Source organism: Homo sapiens, chromosome 15 (assembly GCF_000001405.40).
Source record: "Homo sapiens chromosome 15, GRCh38.p14 Primary Assembly".
NCBI lineage: Eukaryota > Metazoa > Chordata > Mammalia > Primates > Hominidae > Homo > Homo sapiens.
In genome coordinates this window covers 75,163,965-75,189,388 of record NC_000015.10, presented here as the reverse complement: position 1 = coordinate 75,189,388, position 25,424 = coordinate 75,163,965, and the positions used below count along the sequence as shown (strand labels likewise).

Genomic DNA, 25,424 nt, shown 5'->3' with positions numbered 1-25,424 from the left:
ATCCCAGCTCCCAGGCCCAGTTCTGTCCCCATTCCTAACCTAAGTCTGGGGCAGTAGCCAGGGACCACAACAGGACACTCCTAATGGGGACAAAAGGCCTGGAAAGGGGTTGTTCAATTTTTTTTTTTTTTTTTGAGAGAAAGTCTCACTCTGTCTCCCAGCTTGGAGTGCAGCGGTGAGATCTCGGCTCACTGCAACCTCTGTCTCCCAGGTTCAAGCAATTCTCCTGTCTCAGCCTCCCAAGTAGCTGCCCGGCTAATTTTTTTGTATTTTTAGTAGAGACAGGGTTTCACCATATTGGTCAGGCTTGCCTCGAACTCCTGATCTCAGGTGATCCACCTGCCTCGGCCTCCCAAAGTACTGGGATTACAGGTGTGAACCACCGTGTCCAGCTGGGGTTGTTTAGTTAAAAGGAAGGGACACAGAAACCTCCACAGCTCCCCATCTGTAACAGGCAATCGGAGGGGTGACTGCAGCCCCTGCAGCCCCTGCACAGACCTCCTTGCCCATGATGTTTCTTCTGAGCAGAACCTTCCAGAGGCCCACAGGGCCTTCCTGTGACCCACACCCCCAGTGCCATGTGCTGACATCTGACTGCAGCCAGTGGGAGGGCAGGAGTGGCAGCCTAGCCCCGCCTGGTATCATGGTCCCTGTTTGTTTCCAGAAGGTGCAGCATGCAACTCCTGAAGGCAAGAGGCCTGCGAAGGCATTCAGGGCAAGTTGAGAGACTGCGCCCACTGCTCGGCCAGGCTGTGGGGCTGAGGGTGGTGGTAGGGAATGCTGACAAACCCAAGAAGTAGATTTGGGTTCAGACAAGAAAGGCCTGCTCAGGATCCCTGGGGCCCAGCCGACCAGAACCACATCTGCGCTCATGAACAGCCTCTTTATTTCTCAGCCAGGGCCTACTGAAGGCTGAGCCACCTCTCATCCACTCCTGCAAGCCCTCTGGCCCCCAGTGCACCAATGGATTTGAGGGGCTCCATGACTGGCTGGCCCTGTGCTGCAGGTTCAGTGGGGTAGAGTGCTATCCCAGCTCCCAGTGCTGTGGCTGGGAGTCAGTCCCTGGGGAGCCAGGACTCTGTCACTATGACCTGATGTGATTCCACCAGGGAGCTGGGCTCTCCACCCCATGACAAATTGATACAGGCCTCACAGAACAGAAGAGGGGCCCAACCTGTACTTGTGAATGTGCTCCTGAGGCTGGGAGGGTAGGGTGGAGTAGAAGGCAGGGGACCCTCACTCTATGCTGAAGGGGCTGGGGGCTGAGATTGGTGCCCTGTCTTCCTGGGTTCAAATCCTGCTTCTGCTACTTCTTAGCTGTGCTGCCATAGGCAAGTCACTTCATCTCTCTGGGGCTCAGTTTACACAGATATAAAAAATGAGGGCCGGGCACGGTGGCTCACCCCTGTAATCCTAGCATTTTGGGAGGCCGAGGCGGGCGGATCAGGCGAGGTCAGGAGATGGAGACCATCCTGGCTAACACAGTGAAATCCCGTCTCTACTAAAAATACAAAAAATTAGCCGGGTGTGTTGGCTCACGCCTGTAGTCCCAGCTACTTGGTAGGCTGAGGCAGGAGAATGGCGTGAACTCAGGAGGCGGAGCTTGCGGAGAGCCAAGATTGCACTACTGCACTCCAGCCTGGGCGACAGAGCGAGACTCCGTCTCAAAAAAAAAAAAAAAAAAAAAAAAGGATAAGGCCAGGCAAGGTGGCTTTCACCTGTAATCCTAGCACTTTGGGAGGCCGAGGTGGGAGGATTGCCTGAGCCTAGGAGTTCAAGGCCAGCCTAGGCAACATAGCAAGACCCCCATCTCCCCCTGGCAAAAAAAAAAAAAAAAAAATTAACTGGGCATGGTAGTGGCATGTGCCTGTGGTCCCAGCTCAGGAGACTGAGATGGGAGGATCATTGAGCCCAGGAAGTCAAGGCTGCAGTGAGCCATGATCACACCACTGTACTCCAGCTAGGGCAACAGAGCAAGACACTGTCTCAAAAAAAAAAAAAAAAAAAAAATGAGGATGGCCGGGCGTGGTGGCTCACACCTGTAATCCTAGCACTTTGGGAGGCCAAGGTGGGTGGATTACCTGAGGTAGGAGTTCGAGACCAGCCTGGCCAACATGGAGTGCCCGTCTCTACTAAAAATATAAAACTTAGCAGGGCATGATGGTGCGTGCCTGTAGTCCCAGCTACTCTGGAGACTAAGGCAAGAGAATCATTTGAAGCCAGGAGGTGGAGGTTGCAGTGAGCTGAGATTGTGCCACTGCACTCCAGCCTGGGTAACAGAGGGAGACTCTGTCTCAAAAAAAAAATTAAAAAAAAAAAAAAAGAAGGCCCTTTCCTGTTAGGGGAGAGCTGTGCGAGGTAAGGGTCTCAGACGCTGTTTCTTGTTTTCATCATATAGACAGAACAGCCGTGCTGCAAAGATGGTCAATGTACCTAAAACCCGAAGAGCCTTCGGTAAGAAGTGTGGCAAGCATCAGCCTCACAAAGTGACACAGTATAAGAAGAGCAAGGATTCCTTGTATGCCCAGGGAAAGAGGTGCTATGATCGGAAGCAGAGTAGCCATGGTGGGCAGACATAGCCAATTTTCTGGAAGAAGGCTAAGACCACAAAGAAGGTTGTGCTAAGGCTGGAATGTGTTGAGCCTAACTGCAGATCCAAGAGGATGCTGGCCATTAAGAGATGCAAGCATTTTGAACTGGAAGGAGATAAGAGAAAGGGCCAAGTGATCCAGTTCTAAACTTTGGGAAATTTTTCTTTTGATTTGAAGAGAAAATGCTGAAGCCATAGAAAAATTACCTGTAGGAAAATAAATACAGTGATATTCTTTAAAAAAAAAAATGAGGATAAGCATTAACCACATCAAGGGATAATCAGGCAGATCAACTGACTGTGAATATGAAGAACCCAGTGCAGAATGGGCACAGCAATGCCCAGTGCTTCTGGAGAAAGTAAGCCTAAGGGGTGGGGAAGGATCCCAGCTGGTCCGTGCAGCCTGGAATACACATGCGTGTTGGGGACTGTCTGGCCTGGAACAACCAAGAAAGCCCCCCAGAGTATAGGCCTGCCTGGGGCATTCACTGCCCCTCCCAGCCACCCCAAGCCTGAAGGCTTCACTGCTCCTACCCCTCCCCATTGCCTGTCCAACCCTCCTGCCCACCCCCAATGCCAGTGGACAAGTCTAGGGCTATTGACTGGGATCCCAATGCCATGCCCCAAATGGAGACTTCCTGGCCCGGCAGGACTCACAGGAGCTTAGAGGACCAAGGAGAAAAAACTGTTGCACTCATGTACACATGCACATGCGAACACATGCATGCACACACACAGAGGGACACAGAACCAGCCAGGCACACACGTGCAACCATGGCCGGCAACCAACCTTCCCTCCCTCCCTCCCTCCCTCCCCACTTCCTTCTTTCCCTCCCTCCCTCTTTCCTTCCTTCCTTACTTCCCTCCCTCCCCCTCCCCCTCTTCCTCCCTTCCCCTCCACCTCTCCCTCCCTCCCTTCCCTCCTTCCCCCGCCCGTTCTCCATCTCCCCCTCAGTCCCTCCTCCCACTTCCTTCCCTACCTTCTCTTCTACCCCCTCCCCCATCCCCACTCCCTTCCCTCAGACCACTCTGCCTGGCTTACTATGCCAGAGTGTGCATAACCTCTGTGGTATCCACAGGATACCTAGAAATGCCCCCAGCCTCTCCTTCTGGGTCCAGAATAAGCAGATGCCTTGGGGGTAGTATTGGGGTGGGGGTATTCAGTCACCCCTGCTCCCCTCATAGCCTCCAGTCCTGTGCCTGGCACCCACTGCTTTGGGGTTTCTATTTATACCTAGCTCTTTCACCAGACTAGCAAAGGCAAGTTTGCATCCTGGCTGCACTCCAGCCTAACTCTGTGACCTCAGGCAGGCCATTGGACATGGCTGGCCAAAGTTTTCTCATCTCTAAAATGGGGCTGTCATGCCTTTTTTTTTTCTTTAGAGACAGGGTCTCATTCTGTCACCCAGGCTGGAGGTGGTGGTGCCACCATGGCTCACTGCAGCCTTGAACTCCTGGGCTCAAGTGATCCTCCCACTTCAGCCTCCCAAGTAACTGAAACTACAGGCATTGGCCAGGCGCGGTGGCTCATGCCTGTAATCCCAGCACTTTGGGAGGCCGAGGTGGGCAGATCACGAGCTCAGGAGATCGAGACCATCCTGGCTAACATGGTGAAACCCCGTCTCTACTAAAAATACAAAAAATTAGCCAGCCGTGGTGGCGGGTGCCTGTGGTCCCAGCTACTTGGGAGGCTGAAGTGGAAGAATGGCGTGAACCCTGGAGGCGGACCTTGCAGTGAGCCAAGATCGCGCCACTGCATTCCAGCCTGGGCGACAGAGCGAGACTCCGTCTCAGAAAAAAAAAAAAAAAAAAAAAAAAAAGAAACTATAGGCATGTGCCACCACACCTGGCTAATTTTTAAAAATTTTTTGTAGAGACAAGGTCTCGCTCTGTTGCCCAGGCTGGTTTCAAACTCCTAGTGTCATGCCTTTCTTACTGGGTGTGGTGGGAAGATCTTGAATGAAACGCAACTAGCACGGTGCTTGTCTGCTTACTCACTCTCATCCTCCAAAGACAGAGCTGGCCTTCCTCTCTGGGGACAAGTGCCCCTGGACAGCCCCTAGGGATGGCTGAATGCACAGATCGCCCAGCTAGTTCCCCTCCCTCCTCTTTAGCCCAGAGGAGGAGGTATTGGGTGGGCTGCCCCCACTCAAAGTAGTTTCATCGCTTACTGCCCGGGACCTCACCTGCAGGGTCATCCCTGTTGGGCACCCACCTCCCTTCCACCCCATCTATCCTCTACCTGCTCAACTCCTGCATCTGCAAGGCCTGGAGGGTCTCTTGCTCCCTGCCCCCATTTTCCCATCTTTGTCCTGAACCCCACCTGCCTTCTCTTTCACAATCCCCTCTCTTGCCAGGGTGTGGCTCCCATGTGGGCCTGTGGTCCACAAGCCTACCCAGTTCCCTTCATCCCCTCTTCTGCTTTCAGGTCCCCAGCCCAGGCTGCCTCCATCCCACCCCACCAAGCTGGAAGACCAGCACAATTCAGACAGGACTTGTGTCCCAGCTACCCCTGGCCCCTCAGTTTCCTCATCTGTAATTTAAGAATAAAAATGCCGGCTGGGCACGGTGGCTCACGCCTGTAATCCCAGCACTTTGGGAGGCTGAGGTGGGTGGATCACGAGGTCAGGAGATCAAGACCATTCTGGCTAACATGGTGAAACCCCGTCTCTACTAGAAAAAAATAGAAAAAAATTAGCCGGGCATGGTTGCGGGCGCCTGTAGTCCCAGCTACTCCGGAGGCTGAGGCAAAAGAATGGTGTGAACCCAGGAGGTAGAGGTTGCAGTGAGCCGAGATCATGCCACTGCACTCCAACCTGGGCGACAGAGCAAGACTCTGTCTCAAAAAAAAAAAAAAAAAAGAAAAGAATAAAAATACCATTCGGGTGCAGTGGTTCATGCCTATAATTCCAGCACTTTGGGAGACAGGAGGACTTCTTGAGCCCAGGAGTTTGAGACCAGCCCGGGCAATATAGTGAGACCCTATCTGTACAAAAATTTTAAAAATTACCTGGGTGCGGTGGCATACACCTATGGTCCCAGCTATTCAGGAGGCTGAGGTTGGAGGATCACTTGAGCCTGGGAGGTCAAGGCTGCAGTGAGCTGTGATCATGCTACTGCACTCCAGTCTAAGCAACACGGCAAGACCCTGTCTCAAAAAAACAAAAACACAACCTATGTTTTGGTGTATTGTAGGACTAAATTAGAAAACCTATGTATCAGTCGGGTGCAGTGGTTCGTACCTATAATCTCAGCACTTTGGGAGGCCAAGGTGAGTGGATCACCTGAGGTCAGGAGATTGAGACCAGCCTGACCAACATGGTGAAACCCCCTCTCTACTAAAAATACAAAAATTAGCTGGGTGTGGTGGCAGGTGCCTGTAATCCCAACTACTCAGGAGGCTGAGGCGGGAGAATCTCTGGAACCCAGGAGGCGGAGGTTGCAGTGAGCCAAGATCATGGCATTGCACTCCAGCCTGAGTGCAATGAAAAAAAGAAAAAGAAAACCTATGTATCTGGCATACAGGTCAATATAAACAACAGGAAAGGATGGATAAATAAATGAACTAGACCTGGAGTCTGCTCCCCCATTACAATGTCCCTATGAAGCCCCACTTTTAGAGGCAGGCTGGCTGGGGGAGGTCAGCCGAGGGTGGCTCAGAAAGAGGGAGGAGGCTGACTCAGGTGCCAGGATGAGGCCTTGGGAGGTCCAGCGGGGCTTTCTCTGACTCAGGAAGTCTAGAGCAGTAGCCCAGGGCCTGCCCTGTGCCTGGGACCCAAGGTCCTTAGCTTTCAGCAGAGGATCCATGCAGGACCACTGCCAGCCCAAAGGCACCACTCTCTGCAGACAGAGCCCCGGGCCAGGACACCTGACTTGGGAGGAGAGCATGTGCTGGATTTCAGGAGCTAGATGCTACTCTGGCTGGACATCCTGTGCCTGGCAGGAATCTGGCGCCCCTAGTGACTCTGAGGATGGCAAAGGGGCTTATGTTTCTCCAGGCCAACTCCCCACTCAGCAACTTGCCCAGTGCCCATGGCCTCCAGGCCCGGTCCTCCCCAGGCTTCATGCCCCCTCACCCCTTAGCACTGACTGTCTCAGCACGGATGGTCATAAAGCAGGGTTGATGTTAGGCTTTGACCAAAGGTCAGGAGATTGAGAAGAATGACATCGCAGCTCAGCACAAGCAACGGGGACGATTAAACAGTAGCCGTCCTTGTTTGAAAACCCATCAGAGCTGTTTCCTGTGCTGCTACACCCCACTCAGGTCACAGCTTGCTGACGCCTTCTTGGGTTTCTACCCACCCCCATTCCTGTTTGAAACGCCTGTTCTTTTATTCTTATTTGTGGCAATTTAGCCCTCCTGCCCTGCCTCTGCAAATCAGATAGGTCTCCATTTCGGAGCCCACTCAGGCAGCTTGCTAAACTAGGGGCAACTATCAATGCAGGCTGCAACTTTCAACTACAGTTTATCTTTGAACAAGCTGCACCCATTCTTACACAGTATTCCCTTGTCCACCCACACAGACACATGGACAAAGGATGGTAGAAAGATTTATTCTTCTGGAATTTTTTTCTTCTTCCTCATGCATTTGGTCACTTTCCCATCTCATGTTTAATTTGTTAAAGCCAATCTCAGACACTTTTTGGATCATGAACACCTGTCACAGGTTTATCATAAGTTGGGAACAAGTTTAGGAAAACAAAAGGGAACAAGTTTAGGAAAACAAAACACAATCGAGTCCTCCAGCATTGCGGGAAAAGCTATGTCATGCAGTGATTTGGAGCACGGATACTGAGCCAGATGGCCTGGGTTGCAATCCTGGTTTTGCCTCTTTGTAGCTGTGTGACCTTGAGCAAGTTTACTTAACCTCTCCGTGCCTCAGCTTCTCACTTGTGAACAGCAGATAATAATAGCACTCACTTCACGGGTTTGTTGTGCCTGAAATCCAATTTAATCCAAATTACATGTATTAATTTTAATTTTAATTTTTGTAGGGGGAGTGTCTTGCTGTGTTACCCAGGCTGGTCTTAAACTCCCAGCTTCAAAAGATCCTCCCACCTCAGCCTCCCAAGTAGCTGGGATTACAGATGCACTCAACCACACCCAGGTAAATGTTTTATGTTTTGTAGAGACAGGGTCTCATTATGTTGCCCAGGCTAGTCTCAAACTCCTGGGCTCAAGCAATTCTTCCGTCCTCAGCCTCCTGAGTAGCTGGGATTACAGACGTGAGCCACCGCACCCAGCCTTAAATGAATTAATACATGTAAGATCCCGGCCAGGCACTGTGGCTCATGCCTGTAATCCCAGCACTTTGGGAGGCCGAGATGGGCAGATCACGAGGTCAGGAGATGGAGACCATCCTGGCTAACACGGTGAAACCCCCTCTCTACTAAAAATACAAAAAATTAGCCAGGCGTGGTGGTGGGCGCCTGTAGTCCCAGCTACTTGGGAGGCTGAGACAGGAGAATGGCGTGAACCTGGGAGGTGGAGCTTGCAGTGAGCCGAGATCGGGCCACTGCACTCCAGCCTGGGGGAGAGAGCGAGACTCCGTCTCAAAAAAAAAAAAAAAAAAAAAAACACACACACACACACAAAAAAGCATGTAAGATCCCCAAAGCAGTGCCTAGCACACAATAAGCATGGTGTGAGTGTTGGCTGTTATGAGCAAGTTTATATAGGAGAAGAAGGAGGAATGTTAGATAAGGTTGTTTAACTATGTACAGGTCTGGTTAGCTTTACAGGGCTGTAAAGCTGTCACATTCATATCAGCTGCAGGGGTTAAACCTGGGTCACACCAACCGGGACCATCCCTCTAAATTGCCAGGTGTGGGCTGTTCATCAGAAATACCAACTACAGTTTGTTATTTTGTTTTATTTTTTCAGGGGCCTTAGGGTAGCTTACTTTCTCAGACCTTAGCCTATATCCCTGAATGATTATCAGGAAAATGTTTTAATCCAGCAAGGCCTAGGGAATGGGAGATGGCAGAGAGGATGGGAGAGCAGGGGAGCCTGTTCCACCACAGCCAGATGGTGCTTGGCAGAGCAGGAAGAGGACTCTGTGGCCACTAAGCCGGGAGGTGCTGGGCAGTGAGGCCCGGGATGCATCTGTGGTCCTGGGCATGGGAACAGCACTCGGTGCAGTCATAGTTCCTGGCTGCTGGCCACACTGTCTTCTGAATCCTTGGCCCACACAGAACTCCCTCCTTGAGTTCTCAGAGCCCTGGCCAGCCCCAGAACCCTCTGCCCAGCTTTCTGCTGGCCTGACTGTCCTGTGGAGGAGGGGAAGCAGGACTGCAGGAGGATGTGGCCAGACCAAGTTGGAAGCCAAGAGGGGCTTGGCAGCTCCCCGAGGGCTGGCACTGCGCCCCCTCCTCTTCCACTCTCCACTGCCCACGCTGCTCAGGACTCGACACAAGAGCATTCAGTTAATAGAGATGTGGTGGTGTTGCTTGGGAAAAGCCAACCCAAAGACACAAGGTCACCTGACATTTAGCAATGCTATTCAATGGAAATAAAATAGGAGCCATATGTTATCTGAAATTTTCTAGCAGACAGTAAGGAGAAACAGATGAAATCAATTTTAGCAATATATTTAAGAGAACCCAATTTATCTAATGGAACCCTGTGTTACCATTTCAATATTTAATCATATACAAAATTATTAAGATATTTCACATTCTTTTGTTTCATGCTAAGTCTCCTAAATCCTGTGTATATGTTACACTTACTGCCCATATCAATGTGTACTAGCCCCTGCAGGAGAGGAAAAAACTTTTCCTCTACACTCTCTTGTTCTGTGATTGCAGCTTTCGAATTAAACTGACAAAAGACAGATTAACAGGAGAAGAAGTTTATTATGTCTGCATACCGTACCAACAAAGGACGTAGCTGGCTGGTTAAATAGAGTTGAAGGCTTATATACCTAACTTAGTAGGGAAAAGGGAGGGGAAAGAAAGGGCTTCTGTGGGAAAAACAAATAGGTTTCTTTAGCAAAGACAAATGGGGTTTTAAGAGAACCGACAGGTGATAAAGTTTGTGAAATATTTGTCTATATAGGTATGAGTGGTCGCTCTGTCTTCTTGGGGCCATGAAACTACCCCTATGACAGAGTTTATGGTAGCCTTACTTCCCAGAAGTTACTGCTTTTTGTCAGATAAAGGAAGCTCCTAGGAGGCTTTTTTCTGCGTCTGTTGAATCTCAAATGTCTTCAGCTTAAAATAATGTTTATGCCAACTCTGGGGCTCCTAGTGGGTTCCCACACATTTCAAGTGCTCAACAGTCATATGCGGCTACCTTATCAGATGGTGCAGGTGCAGAATCATTAAATCATGGAACCCCAGGGCAGGACAGCTCCTGGAGACGCTGGCAAGCATGCCCTCTGCCACCTTCTTCCCCGTGCCTAGCCCGTACTCTGCTTGAGTGTCCCCAAGCTGGGTGCCCACGACCCCTGCCTCCCCCGCAGCTTCCTCCAGACCAGTGGCTCAGGCTCCGTGGTAGATTGAGTTGTTGATGTTGAGCAGAAATCTCCCTCCCGCCTAAGTGGGCAACCCAACATCTTTCCCAAAGCACTGGCACAAACCCGCCGTGAGGGTGGCTGGCAGGAACTATTGTTGAATTTTACCTAGAGGGTCCGTGTCCAGCAGCAAGTGGGGACAGGAGAATGCTAGGATACAAGGTCGTCCTTGCTGTGCCTTGGCCCAGCGAGTGGTCTCCATGTCCCCTCAGAGGGAGGGTGCATTCTGGCACGTGGCTGAGCGGGTACCCACCAAAACCCTAACGTAGAAAGCCCGGCTCCAGTCACAGCCTGCCTGGGACTGGCCCTGGCCCTGGCCCTGGCTGCCGCTCTCCTTCCCCCAGCTGAATCCTAATAGGAGGCACAGAATCCTAATACAGCCTCCAGGTTTCACAGATGGGGAAACCGAGGCGCGGTTCCCGCGCGTCCACGTTCAGCCCATGCCCGGGCTGAACCCAATTGCAACAAAGTCCCAGGGGCCTCCGGAGAAAACGTGGGAGCCTTCCCGCCCTGGCGGGCCCTTGCCAGCTCTCTGCTTCTCGGACACAGGCGGCGGGCGGGCGCGGGCCTCAGGGACCCGGCCGCTGGGGCGGGAGTCTCCAGGGAACCGTGATGTAACCCAGCGCCCCGGCTTGCAGGAGCGGCCCCCAGGCGCCGCCCGTGGCTTGTTTACTCGACTAGGGGCGCGGGGTGGAGTCGCGGCCACCGGCCCCGCCCCACCCCCCACAGTGCCCGCCCCTGCACCTCCCCCCAACCCCTCCACCCCAACGGCTGGACGGAGCCCCAGGGGCTGTTGGAGGCTTGCGGGTGTTGGTCCTGTTTCTGCCTTAGATGTTCCAAGACCTGGCGCAGTGGCCGAGCCACACGGGTGACTCTGAAAGGGCCTGAGTCCCCCACGAGCTCTCTCAGTCACGGCCCCCAAAGTAGCTCAAAAGAACATTCCAACGAAGTAAAATCCCGGAGCTTGCTATGCCTACGCAGCCTCAGGACAAGGGCCCTCCTATCCGGTCCCCCAGTCGCCGCATCTTCCCGGCCTGTCTCCTGCTCCTGTCTCCTGTTCTGTGATAGCCGGCACCGTGGGGAGCCCTTTTTTGGACTCCCCAAAAGTCTGCCTCAGGGGACAAAAACAGCATTTCCCAGGGGCTCTACTACTCCTGGCACAGAGAAAGAGAGTTTGCTCTTGGCTAGGCAAAGTTAACACCCTGAAGGGCTGAAGGGCAGAACTGCTTAGGGGTTGGGGCTCCTCACTTAGGGCAGCGATTCCCAGTCCTGGGCTCTTTCCAGCCCCAAGCCAGGGCCTGGCTCACTGGGGCCAGTGGGGAACAGCAGGGCTCCCTGCACACACAGCACCCTCTCGAACTGGGCTCTCCAGCCAGACACAGGCCTCCCACCCCTAGGGGAGAGCAAGAACAAGGCAGTGTGTGGCCAGATGGTAATGGATGGGAACAGATCTAGAGGGTGCAATGCTGATGCCAGCAAAAACCCCAACAGCTGTGACCTGTGCCCACTGCCAGGGTTTTCTCATCTAGACTCTCCATTCCCTGGTGAGGCAGGCAGGCTGCCTACAGATGAGGGAGCTGAGGCTCAGAGAGAGCAGGGGAGCCTGAGGTCACCCTAGGAAGTTGGCGACAGCTGCAACTAGGACCTAAACCCGTGTGCTAGTCTCTCATGCGCTTTTTTTTTTTTAAATAGACAGTACAATATGAACATACTTCATGCAATCTTGAGAGCCCAAGAGCCCTGTAACTGGGAGCAGTCCAGGAGGGCTTCCTGGATAAGAGGCCAGGCCTCAGCTAGATGAGGGAGGAGGGGCACGATTTGGAGAGAGAGGTGTGAGGTGAGAAGGCTTCTCTGAGGTGGGAAATAGGAAGAAAGGGGATGGGCTGGGTGGGATAGCACTCACCTGTAATCCCAGCACTTTGGGAGGCTGGGGAAGGGGATTGTTTCAGACCAGTTTGGGCAATATAGTGAGACCACCATCTCTACCAAAAATTAAAAATGTGGCACATGCCTGTGGTCCCAGCTACCTGAGAGGCTGACATGGGAGGATTGCTTGGGCCCTGGAGGTCAAGGCTGTAATGAGCCATGATCGTGCCACTGCACTCCTGTCTGGGTGACAGAGTGAGACCTTGTCTCAAAAAAAAGAAGAAAGGGGAGGTTAACCTGGGAAGAGAACAGCCCGGGAGCTGCAGGAAGTAAGGGTGCAAAAGATCTCACCAAAGAAGAGGGTCTGGGGGTCAGTCAGGGAGGAGGCCAGCCAGGGTCAAGAGAAGTTCCTGGGGAGGGGGTGTGGTGGGCAGATGCAGGATTGGAGACTACTGGTATTGGGGGCAGCATTTCCAGTCCAGCCTTCCACTGCAGACTCTAGCATTTCCCAGCCCTCTGGCTTTGGGTATGTTATCTTCCCTCTGTGGGCCTCAGTTTCCTCATTTATAAGATGGAGATCAGCTCCCCACGCTGCCCATGGCTGAGAAGGTGCTTTGTGACTGGCTTTACATACTTGAGGGTGTGAGGGACTCATATACCAATGTGACGGATAGGCTGGAGTCAGGGGAGACCTCTCCATGGGGCTTCTCCCTGCCATGTATTCCCTGCCCTTACAGAGAGAGGCCTCATACACTTGTTCCCTCCAACTCTGCCGGCATGTTGGGGAGGCCCCTAGGCTTAGTAAATATTTGTGTCTCTGCTCTAGTTGGTGGCTGCTGGAACATTCTGTCCTGCTTCTCATTCATCTAGGCTTCTGCCTCAGGCTGTGAAGTTACTGCAAGAGATCAAGAGCCCAGGGTGGGAACTTCTAGGTCCTTCGCCAGCCCCCCTCCTGCCTACTCCTGAGCCCCAGTTTATTCCTGGAGTTCAGAACCCTGTGCGAGGCCCTGTGCACTTTGGGAGGCTAAGGCAGGTGGATCACCTGAGGTCAGGAGTTCGAGACCAGCCTGGCCAACGTGGTGAAACCCCATCTCTACTAAAAATACAAAAATTAGCCAGGCGTGGTGGCATGTGCCTATAGTCATAGTCCCAGCTACTTGGGAGGGCAAGGCAGGAGAATTGCTTGAACCTGGGAGGTGGAGGTTGCCAGTGAGCCGAGATTGTGCCATTGCACTCCAGCCTGGGCAACAGAGTGAGACTCCGTTTCAAAAAAAAAAAAAAAGAAAGAAAGAAAAAAAAAGAAAAAAAAAGAAAGAAAGGAAAGGAAGAGAGAGAGAGAGACATGTGACTCTAAAGAACCTCTCTGGGCATGGTGGCTCATGCCTGTAATCCCAGCACTTTGGGAGCCCAAGATAGGAGGATTGCTTAAGCCCAGGAGTTTGAGAACAACCTGGGCAACATAGTGAGACCCTATCTCTAGTTTTAAAAAGAACACCTCTCCTTTTGCTGTGAGAAGAGCTAGGACATTGGGTCCGAATGTTAGCTCAGTAGCTGGCCTGATGTGTGGTTTTGGTTGAGTCCCACTACTTTTCTGAGCTTATTTCCTCATTCCTGAAAAGGTGGTGAAATGGTTTGGACCAGTGCCTGGCACTTACTAAGCTGTTTTCTTCCTTAGCCTTCCTTCCATGCCTCTGCACTGTCTTCCTAGAAGTTTGGGCCTGCCCTATTTAACCAATTAAATTAACAAGGATAAGAAGTTTCCGACTTTTATTGGGTACTCTATACAGTGCTATGCTGGTAAATGTTAAAAACCAGCTCTACATACATTTTTTTAAAGTTCTAGGCCAGGCGCAGTGGCTCATGCCTATAATCCCAGCATTCTGGGAGGCCGAGGCAGGTGGATCACCTGAGGTCAGGAGTTCAAGACTAGTCTGATCAATATGGTGAAACCCCATCTCTACTAAAAATACAAAAATTAGCTGGGTGTTCAAGGTGGCACGCACCTGTAGTCCTAGCTACTCAAAAGGCTGAGACAGGAGAATCACTTGAATCTGAGAGGCAGAGGTTGCAGTGAGCTGAGATCACACCACCGCACTCCAGCCTGGGCAATAGAGTGAGACTACATCTAAAATAAAATAAAATAAAATAAAAGTTCTGTTTTGCAGTGTTTGCCCTATTTCCGTGCTGTTAATACTCACCATGGCCATTTCTTTTTTTCTTTTTTTCTGAGACAAGTTTCGCTCTTGTTGCCTAGGCCGGAGTGCAATGGCAAGATCTTGGCTTACTCCAACCTCAACCTCCTGGGTTCAAGCTATTCTCCTGCCTCAGCCTGCTGAGTAGCTGGGACTACAAGCGTCCACCACCACACCCAGCTAATTTTCGTATTTTAGTAGAGACGGGTTCGCCACATTGGCCAGGCTGGTCTCGAACTCCTGACATCAGATGATCCACCAGCCTCAGCCTCCCAAAGTGCTGGAATTATAGACGTGAGCTACCGCGCCCGGCCCACCGTGGCCATTTCAAAGCTACCAACATGACATCACAGAAAGTGAACTGTGACCTAGTGAGAGCTGGCAGGCCACAACACAGCACTGCCTGTGGGATTTGCTATATAATTTGCAAGGCCCAATACAAAATGAAATTGCAGGTTCCCTGTTCAAAATGCATGGGGGAATGTCTTCCCTTTTTTCCATGATGCCTCTCACAACCTGTCATGGTGTTGCGTTTTTTGGTAATTTACACTTAATGTTCTTACTCCCTCCAGCTCGGGACACGCACAGGGCAAGAGCGGACCTTCACAGATCGGGGAGGTGGCACATGTGGAACCTAGTAACTACCAGGCTCCCCGTTCCAGCAGCCACCAGACAGACTTATTGGGAAGTAGAGGCAGGCATCTTCCCTTCCTAAAGGCCCACAGTCCCAACTATGTCCCAACCTCGTAGCCAGGAGGCACTAGGGACTGGGATAGGAGTGGAGAGAGGCTCACCCTCCCTAAGCCACCCACTGAACATGGCATATTGCTGCCAGCCTGGGACAGGACGGCCACCACCTGTCCGCTCTGACACTGTGGGGTGCATGTACTTGGCCCTGGCGCACCCACCCCCACCCAGGCCCTCAAGGGAGCAAAGGGTGGCAGTGTTGCAGGGCAGGGGTGACAAGGGGGCTGGGTGGCACTGGGGCACCAGAGGTTGAGGGAGTGGATAGCCAAGAACTCATTCCAGGGAAGCATGGAGGTGGCAGGAGGCATGACCATGCTTCAGGCCAAGATTCCAAGCCCTCAGCACGTGCTACATGACCCCATTGGACTTCACTTACAAAAGACAAATTTGGCTGGGCATGATGGCTTACACTTGTAATCCCAGCACTCTGGGAGGCCGAGACAGGTGGATCACCTGAGGTCAGGAGTTCAAGACCAGCCTGGCCAAGATGGTGAAACCCCGTTTCTACTGAAAATACAAAAATTAGCCGGGCATGGTGGCACGTGCCTGTAATCCCAGCTCCAGCTACTCAGAGGCTGAGGCAGGATAATCATTTGAACCCAGGAGGCAGAGGTTGCAGTGAGCCAAGATTGCGCCACTGCACTCCAGCCTGGGTGACAGAGCAAGACTCTGTCTCAAAAAAAAAAAAAAAAAAAAGACAAATTCAAAGTTAAATTACGAAGAATTTCAAAGTACTGCTTGGTCCTAGTGCATTCAACCAAGCTTGGTTGGGCCCTTCCAAGTGCAGGGCTCTGTCTGTGGGCTGCACTGAAGGGGGCCTTACTATATGTGTTATCCAAGTGAGATAAGAATGGGTGGGCAGGTTGGCTGGGCATGGTGGCACATGCTTGTAATCCCAGCACTTTGGGAGGCCGAGGCGGGTGAATCAGCTGAGGTCAGGAGATCGAGACCAGCCTGATTAACATGGTGAAACCCTGTCTCTACTAAAAATACAAAAATTAGCCAGGCGTGATGGCATGCACCTATAATTCCAGCTACTCAGGAGGCTAAGGCAGGAGAATTGCTTGAACCCGGGAGGCGGAGGTTGCAGTGAGCCGAGATTGCACCACGGCACTCCAGCCTGGGTGACAGAGTGAGACTCCATCTCAAAAAAAAAAAAAAAAAGAGTGGCCCAGCAGGATCATTCCTTAGGAACTTTAGTCTTTTAGTCCCCACATTAGAGAAACCTGGGTGCCTTGAGGGAAGTAAAGGCCAGGTGACTCACCTCCCTCCTCAGAAATCTCCCCTACTTTGGGGAAGCATGCACGCAACTTGGCAAAAACTTGTCAAACAAAAAAATACAGCCTTTGTTACAGAAATTTATCATCCACCATCTGCACCATTGCTTCCATTTTTATATCTGCATGGTGCCGCTTTTCTCTTTTTGAGAAATACTTTCCAAAAATTGACCTTTTGTTTCTAAACAGGTGAAAGATAACATTTTGAAACACTCAATTCACTGCCCATCTGTGCAATGTATAATTGGTTGCATTCGTTGGTCTAGAGAATACCCACAACTGTAAAAGTTTTCTCCATACTGATATTTGTCCTGGGGATTGAAGCCAAATTATTGACCTAGTTTTAGTAAATCTAGAACAACAGCTTTTTGGCTTAAGAAATATTTCCATGTATCAAGAATAATCATTCCCTTGACATGAATGAGTGATGGCCCAGGCATCAACTTCCTGACAAAGGGAATTTGAAAGGGGCGCTTCTCAAACCACGCTGGCCCCAGTCCAGGAAGGTATAGTTTCCATTTCTCAGGAGTGGCCAGATGCTCTGGGCCAGCTGCTGGAAGGGGTGTCTCACCAGGGAAGAGGGCTGCAAATGTGGGCAGAGGACGAGACGCCCCCACAGCCTGTTGATGCAAGCAGCCCCACTCTGCATACCCCCAGCTCTGTCCAGATGGTAATCCCGCTGCTGGGAGCCCAGGCCCAGCCCATGGCTCTCAGGACTGTGTTGCATTGTGAAAGAAGGGCAGGAGCCTCACTGGGGCAGGTCAGCACTCACAGAAACATACAGACATACAGGCAGGAAGCAGCCGGGGAACCTTGTCCTGAAGTGTGTGCAGGTGCAGTGGACACAAACCACCTCCATGGCATGTTGATAAAAGCCACATGGTGAAGGAATAGTGGGCCTTCTCCAGCATGTTCTTCTATAGGTTTCCCCACAGAAATTCAAACCATAGGCTGGGCGCCATGGCGCATGCCTGTAATCCCAGCACTTTGGGAGGCTAAAGCTGGAAAGATTGTTTGAGCCCAGGAGTTGAAGACCAGCCTAAGCAACATAGTGAGAGCCCCCCTCTCTACAAACATTTTTTTTTTTTAATTAGCCGGCCATGGTGGCACATGCCTGTAGTCCTAGCTACTGGGGAGGCTAAGGCTGGGGGATCACTTGAACCTGAGAGGTCAAAGTTGCAGTGAGCCGTGGCCATGCCACTGTACTCCAGCCTGGGCAACAGAGCGAGACCCTGTCTCAAAAAAAAAGAAAAAAATAAGAGAGAAACTCAAACCATAGGCTGTTTGAGTCTAAACCTGGCCCTGTGTACTCCTTAGTGATTTTGGGCAAATCCCAGGGCGTATCTGAGCCTCACTTTCTCCATGTGTAAAATGGGAACATGATGCATATCTTCAGGATTGAGTTGAGTATTAAACAAGTTGCCTGTGTTTATGTTCATGTGTAGATGTTGGACACAGAGCTGGCGCTCAATACCACAGGATGGAAACAGGGTGGCTATTATTATCATTAGCAATCAGATAGTAGAGAGAAGGTCTGACTCACTTCTGTGTGCTTTTTCTGGTACACAGGATGTGGTACTGGGAAATGTGGATGGAACTCTTGGGCCTTGGCGGGCTGTGTTGAGAGAGTGGTTTGTGGCGACATGGTAGGGAAAAGTAGGTGACTGTGCTGGGCCTTTGCTGGCCTTCTTCCCCAGGAAACAGAACTGTGGGGGGCAGGGACGGTGGCGATGTGGAGGAAGCTCATCCTTAGCCAGCCCCCTCATTTCATAGATGGAGAAACTGTGTGTCAACCCATGATGAACTCATTACACCAACCTCTACTGGCCTCAGAGTAATTTGTGGAACTCCAAAATTTTGGAGCCCCAAAAACTGGAGATGCAAACCCTGGGTGCCTGTTCAGATTCCCCCAGCAATCTGCTTCATTTCTCTTGATTGGCATAAGACCAGTGCCAGGTCACTCCTCCGTTTTTAGAACTGGATAACATTCCACATCAAAAAAGGTATGAAACTGGCTACTGAGGAGTTCGGTGATGAAACACAAAAGTATGGATGAGTTAGCTCCCCGCACCTGCCAGGTGAAACCTGACCTATGAGAAACAGGAGATGGGAAGGAACTGGGAAGGTAAGTTCTCCCTCCTTTTTCTCTCCTTGGACTGCTCCAAGGTGCAGTTCCCTGCATCCCTCTGGACAAGTCCCCATGCAGAGCGACATGCCTGCTGAGCGACCTGCTGTGTCTCACCCAGGCTAGCCATGAAGCTGTGGCCAGCACAGTAGCACATCAGCCACTTTGCATTCCATCTGCCCTGGCCTTACTTCCCTCATTCTTCACTCTCACCATCCTGGGCTGGCATCTCCCAGATAAAGTATTGGCACTGTTCCCGGGGAGCAGCCCTATGTAAACCTATCCCTAAAGGCTGAGGAAGCTGAGAGGCCAAAGACAGAGGCTGACAAATGTAGTTTCTCTGAAAGAAACATTTAATAATAACTTAGGCACAGAAGCCATTGTCTCAGTAGCTGCAAGAGGAGATGGTGGAGCCCTGCCATTATCCCCCAGACCAAGGGCTTATATACCATAGGGAAAGAATGTGTAGGACAACTGAAGTTGGCCCTGCAGGGAAAGGCAAAAGTATTATGTGAATCTGCCTAAGGGGAGGATTTACGCTCCCCAAAACAAAAAATAAGATTGTTTTGACCTAGGAGCAGGGTTTATGGTAGCAGTAGATAAATTAGAAGTCTTAGAGGCATTCTTTGAACAGGGGTTAATCAGAAGTCAACATGGCAGGTTGGCATCCAAGATGGAGTTGCTTTAGCCTCCACAGCCACCTTAATCCTTGACCCAAGCTCTGTTTTTTAGATGACCCAGGCTAAGATGGGTGGCATTCCAAAATCATTCATATTATAGGATTATTCAACATAAAGGTACTCAATATATAATAGAATTATTTCATCTATTTAGATAAAAGTTTCTGTCCTGCAGAAGAGACATGGGAGGCACTGCCTGAGGAGCAAACCGAATTAACATTTTCCATCCCAGGAAAATACACATAACAAAACAGACATTAGTCACCTTTTTCAGCACCCAGTATCAACCTGGCAACGCTCAACATTCTTCCTGTTGGTCCTTGTTGTCTTTGATCTACTCCAGGTGGGGAAGGATGACCTCCGAATGATTCACAATGGGGTCTCTGGGCAAGGCAAAGAGCAGATAGTCACCCAAGACAGGCCTGTTGAGCTTTCTTCAGGGCTCATTGAACGTAACCAGACAAATAAGGAGGGTTCTTTGAGGTAGGCCTGCTGGACGTCCATCAGCAATTCCTTCTGAGATCCCCTCCACATATACAAACACACACAAAGACAAGGACAGAAGGCCTTCCGAATCAGATACCTAACCAAGAACTCTAAGAGTATCCCTTCCAAACTATCCTATTCTTTGTCTGAGAAATCACCTCAAAATCTTCCTGAATGTGGAGGTCTCCTGAACCAAGGCTCTTCCTACTAGTTAGGGAGAGCCAACCACCCCCTGCCAGGAGCCAAACCGAGACAGACACCCCATCCTGCAATGGGGCTATAGACACCCTACCATGGAACTACAGAACCAGTCAGGAGAAGGAAGGAGGCATTGGCAGAGCCTAGGATACTCGCCAACCCAGACACCCTGCAACGGGGCTACAGACACCCTGTGACAGGGCTACAGTTGAGGGACATCTCCCCAGGACTGTTTCTCTACTACAATTAAATCCATGCACATTGGGTCAGCAGCACCCTACCAGTAGAGTACCAGAGTCGGCCCCCAGTCCAAAAGAACTAGGCAGCCGCTTGGGCTGGCCTCTGGATCCATTGCTAGAGAGGGGCCACCAAACCCAGGCAGGTAGCCACAAGGGCAATCCCAGATGAGCCCCCAAATTTGTAACCACACAAGGAGTTCACCTTGACCACTGCCTAGACAGAGCCAATTTATCAAGACAAGGGAATCGCAATAGAGAAAGTGTAATTCACACAGAGCCAGCTGTGCAGGAGACCAGAATTTTATTATTACTCAAATCAGTCTCTTCCAGCATTAAGGGAGCAGAGTTTTTAAAGACAACTTGGTGGGTTGGGGGAAGCCAGTGAGCCAGGAATGCTGATTGGTCAGAGATGAAATCACAGGGAGTCGAAGCTGTCTTCTTGCACTGAGTCAGTTCCTGGGTGGGGGCCACAAGATCAGATGAGCCAGTTCATCAATCTGGATGGTACCAGCTGATCCATCAAGAAAAGGGTCTGCAAAATATCTCAGACACTGATCTTAGAAGCAGTTTAGGGAGGGTCAGAATCTTGTAGCCTCCAGCTGCATGGCTCCTAAAACATAATTTCTAATCTTGTGGCTAATGTTAGTCCTACAAAGGCAGTCTAGTCCCCAGACAAGAAGGTGGTCTGTTCTGGGAAAAGGCTGTTACCATCTGTTTTAAACCGTAAACTATAAACTAAGTTTCTCCCAAAGTTAGCTTAGCCTACACACAGGAATGAAAAACAACAGCTTGGAGGTTAGAAGCAAGATGGAGTCAGTTAAGTTAGATCTCTTTTACTGTCTCAATCATAATTTTGGAAAGGCGGTTTCAGTAAGAAAGTTCGGAGTTATTACAGTCTGCAGTGGGGACCTATTATGGTGTGAATGTGTCCCCAAAATTATAATTAGGAGATGATTAAGTCATGAGGGTAAAGCCCTCTTAAATGGGATTCATGTTTTTAGAAAAGAAGCCCAAGGAAGCTTCTTTGCCCCTTCCATTAAGTGAGGATGAACCGCCATTGCAAAATTGTAACTGAGCCAGTGAAAGAGATCTGACCTAACCGATTCCATCTTGCTTCTAACCTTCAAGCTGTCCTTGTTCCTTCCTGGGCGTAGGCTGAACTAACTTATAGTTTGAAACAAAGAGTTAACAGCCCTTTCCCAAAACAAATCCCCTTCTTGTCTGGGGCCTAGACAGACTGCCTTTGCAGGACTAACAAATCAGCCAAAAGATTAGAAATTCCAGTTTAGCATGCAGCCAGAGTCTACAAGATTCTGATCCTCCCCAAATCACTCCTGGGATCTAAGTGCTTAAGATATTTTGATTTTAAGAACCTAAGATCAGTGCTTAAGATATTTTACAGACACTTAATGGATCAGCTTGCACCACCCAGATTGATAAACTGGCTCATCTGATCTTGTGGCCCCACCCAGGAACTGACTCAGTGCAAGAGAACAGCTTCAACTCCCTATGATTTCATCTCCCACCCAACCAATCAGCACTCGCGACTCACTGGCCCCTACCCACCAACTTATCCTTAAAACTCTGATCCCTGAATGCTTTAGGAGACTGATCTGAGTAATAATAAAACTCCGTTCTCCCACACAGCTGGCTCTGCATGAATTACTTTTTCTCTATTGCAATTCCCCTGTCTTGATAAATCAGCTGTCTGGGCAACGGGCAAGGTGAAACTGTTGGGTGGTTACAAGGACACAGAAGCCACTATCTATGAGGAACAGGCCCTCTCCAGACACAATATGCTTCTCAGCCTCCAGAACTGTGAGAAATACTTTCTGTTGTTTATAAATTACCCAGATATTGTATTATATTAGGTGAGTGCAAAAATAATTATGGTTTTTGCATTTTTAGAACTCACTGTTTGATATTAGAATACATTCTTAAATAAATGTGGTTATGTTATACATCATTTTAATGGGCATTTCTCACTTTATGTTTTTTTGCTTATGACTTGTTACTTGCTGTTTATTTTAGACTATGGAAATGATGTTAGACAAAAAGCAAATTCTGGCAGTTTTCTTACTGGAGTTCAAAATGGATCAGAAAGTAACAGAGACAACTCACATCAATGCATTTGGCCCAGGAGCTGCTAATGAACGTACAGTGCAGTGGTGGTTCAAGAAGTTTTGCAAAGGAGATGAGAGCCTTCAAGATGAGGAGAATAGTGGCTGGCCGTCAGAAACTGACAACTACCAACTGAGAACAATCATCGAAGCTGATCCTCTTACAGCTACCTGAAAAGCTGCTGAAGAACTCAACATCTACCATTCTATGCTCATTCACATTTGCAGCAAATTGGAAAGGTGAAAAAGCTCGATAAGTGGGTGGCTCATGAGCTGATGAAAACTTTAAAAATCGTCATTTTGAAGTGTCATCTTCTCTTATTCTACACAACAATGAACCATTTCTCGATCGGATTGTAACATGCAACAAAAGTGTATTTTATACAACCAGCGATGACCAACTCAGTGATTGGACCAAGAAGAAGCTCCAAAGCACTTCCCAAAGCCAAACTTGCACCAAAAATGGGTCATGTTTGACAGAGCAGGAGCATCGCCATCTTGGACAAGCCCCTCATTCTAAAGTTCACCTTAATAAAAAACTGCTTAATCCAAAGGGCATCAGCCTAATGGCTAAGGTCAGCATGACCATAAACCACAAATAACATCTCCAGACAGAAACATTCCAAACTCCTCCCTGACCACAGACATGCTAGCCCCAAGATAACCCCACACCAGGCCGGAAAGATGTCTGCCCCAAAATAACCTCCCCTCCTCCCAGAGAGATTCCAACCCTGCCATAAGCTTCTCCCTACACATAAACATTCCAAGCTTCTGATAAACCCCCTCACCCTAAAACCAATATATCCTCTTAGTCTGTAAGAGAAAGCGCTTTTGACCAAAAAAATCGGCCAGGAGCACCTCTCAGGTTTTATCTAAAGAAAACCAGCCAGGCACGGTGGCTCACGCCTGTAATCCCAGTATTTTGGGAGTCCGAGGTGGGCGGATCACCTGAGGTCTGGAGTTCAAGACCAGGCTGACCAACATGGAGAAACCCTGTCTCTACTAAAAATACAAAATTAGCCAGGCGTGGTGGAGCATGCCTATAATCCCAGCTACTCTGGAGGCTGAGGCAGGAGAATGGCTTGAACCCAGGAGGCAGAGGTTGCTGTGAGCCGAGATCACGCCATTGCACTCCAGCCTGGGCAACAAGAGCGAAACTCTTGTCTCAAAAAAAAAAAAAAAAAAAAGAAAGAAAAGAAAACCTGTCTTTAACTGTCAGCTGTGTTTCGTGTTTCTTTCCTCTTTCTTGAACTTTTACAATGGTCACTGTTTGGTGGTCCGATGCCAGTCTGATCCACTACAGCTTTCTGGATTGGAAAACTGTTACATCTGAGAAGTATGCTCAGCAAATCCATGAGATGCACCAAAAACTGCAATGCCTGCAGCCAGCATTGGTCAACAGAAAGGACCCAATTCTCCACAATAATGCCAACCATATGTTGCACAACCAACGCTTCAAAAGTTGAATGAATTGAGCTATGTATGAAGGTTTGCCTCATCTGCCATATTCACCTGACCTCTCGCCAACAAACTGCTGCTTCTTCAAGCATTTTGACACTTTTTGCATGGAAAATACTTCCACAACCAGTAGGATGCAGAAAATCTTTTCCAAGAGTTTGTCAAATCCCAAAGCACAAAAATGTATTCATTGTAATGGTTCCTATTTTGATTAATAAAGATGTGTTTGAGCCTGGTTATAATAATTTAAAATTGGCCGGGTGCGGTGGCTCACGCCTGTAATCCCAGCACTTTGGGAGGCCGAGGCGGGTGGATCACGAGGTCAGGAGATCGAGACCATCCCGGCTAAAAACGGTGAAACCCCATCTCTACTAAAAAAAAATACAAAAAATTAGCCGGGCGTAGTGGCGGGCGCCTGTAGTCCCAGCTACTTGGGAGGCTGAGGCAGGAGAATGGCGTGAACCCGGGAGGCGGAGCTTGCAATGAGCCGAGATCCCGCCACTGCACTCCAGCCTGGGCGACAGAGCGAGACTCCGTCTCAAAAAAAAAAAAAAAAAAAAAAAAAAAAAAAGATAAATTCTCTGACACCAGGTAGGTGTCCAACAATTAAATTCTGATACTATCTATCCGTAGTAAGCACAAGATCCCACAAGTTAAAGGGCTCAGTCCCACAAGAGTGCTTCAGAGGCCAGCACAAGTGGGCTGCCCAGGCTACCCACACTTCCACTAGGCTGGCTAAAAATTGGGAGTTCCCATGACCACCCCCTAAGTTCTCTAACTTCCTAGAATGACTCACAGAACTCAGGAAAACACTACTTACATTTACAGGTTTATTAAAAAGCATATAAAGGAACAGCCAAATGGGAGAGATACCTAGGTCAAGGTATGTGGGGTGTGGGTTGTGGCAAGTCCATCGAGGACACCCACTCCCCACCTGCAGCACTTAGAAGCATTCATCGACCTGGAAGCTTCCAACCCTTATTGTCTTTATAACCCAATCTTCAGGTCCCCTCCCTGTTTCCACCCTCTAATCACGTTTCCTCTTTCTAGTGAGCAGCACCCTGTAGCTATCTAGGAGCCCCACCCAAAGTCACCCCATTAGCATAAATTCAGGTATAACAAAGGGGCTTGTTATGAATAACAAAACACACTTCTATTACTGAGAAAACACCAAGGGTTTCAGGAGCTCTGTGCCAGGAACCTGAGACAAAGACATACATATATACTATTGATGTATATACATAATATGTTATATATCATATATAAAAAATACTATATAGAAATATTATATCCAAAAAAAATTATATCTATATAATATCTCAGATTATGCCACAGGTTCCCTAGGGCTGTTGCCATTCATTTCTTCACATGATTGGTTATATGCAAAGTAGCTAAACTTGTTGATCTTGATAGGATTAATGCATATGTTGGCTCCACAAACCTCTCAAATCTGGCTGTAGTTCTGATAAATGTGCAAATTAGGCCAGGCGCAGTGGCTCACCTATAATCCCAGCACTTTGGGAGGCCAAGGTGGGCAGATCATTTGAGGCCGGGAGTTCAAGACCAGCCTGGCCAACATGGTGAAACCCTGTCTCTACTAAAAATACAAAAATTAGCTGGGTGTGGTGGCACACACCTATAATCCCAGCACTTTGGGAGGCTGAGGTAGGTGGAACACTTGAACCCAGGAGTTCAAGACCAGCCTTGGCAACATAGCAAGACCCCATCTCAAAAAATAATAAAATTAAAATTAAAATTAAAAATTGAATGTTTAATTCTTCCAGCAAAATTTGTTGAAAAGACTGTTATTTCTTCATTGAATTGACTTGGCACCTTGTTTTGTTAGATTTATGCCAAGTATTTCATGTTTTTTATGGTACTTAAAATGGCACCGTTTTTTAAATTCCCATTTTAATCAGTCATTCCTAATAT

General features: G+C 49.4%; 1 pseudogene, besides 4 other annotated features; it reads left to right on the top strand.

Annotated features, from left to right (window-relative positions):
• Window positions 274-773: an enhancer, noted in NCBI's record as "H3K4me1 hESC enhancer chr15:75480957-75481456 (GRCh37/hg19 assembly coordinates)". NCBI's record gives its function as "activates a minimal SCP1, AML or CMV promoter by ChIP-STARR-seq in primed H9 embryonic stem cells {active_cell/tissue: H9 hESC(primed)}" and the evidence as "EXISTENCE:reporter gene assay evidence [ECO:0000049][PMID:30033119]".
• Window positions 774-1,275: an enhancer, noted in NCBI's record as "H3K4me1 hESC enhancer chr15:75480455-75480956 (GRCh37/hg19 assembly coordinates)". NCBI's record gives its function as "activates a minimal SCP1, AML or CMV promoter by ChIP-STARR-seq in naive H9 embryonic stem cells {active_cell/tissue: H9 hESC(naive)}" and the evidence as "EXISTENCE:reporter gene assay evidence [ECO:0000049][PMID:30033119]".
• RPL36AP45 (ribosomal protein L36a pseudogene 45) lies at window positions 2,415-2,780 on the top strand (annotated as a pseudogene).
• Window positions 11,413-11,972: an enhancer, noted in NCBI's record as "H3K4me1 hESC enhancer chr15:75469758-75470317 (GRCh37/hg19 assembly coordinates)". NCBI's record gives its function as "activates a minimal SCP1, AML or CMV promoter by ChIP-STARR-seq in primed H9 embryonic stem cells {active_cell/tissue: H9 hESC(primed)}" and the evidence as "EXISTENCE:reporter gene assay evidence [ECO:0000049][PMID:30033119]".
• Window positions 11,757-11,856: an enhancer, noted in NCBI's record as "active region_9838". NCBI's record gives its function as "activates an Ori minimal core promoter by ATAC-STARR-seq in GM12878 lymphoblastoid cells {active_cell/tissue: GM12878}" and the evidence as "EXISTENCE:reporter gene assay evidence [ECO:0000049][PMID:35858748]".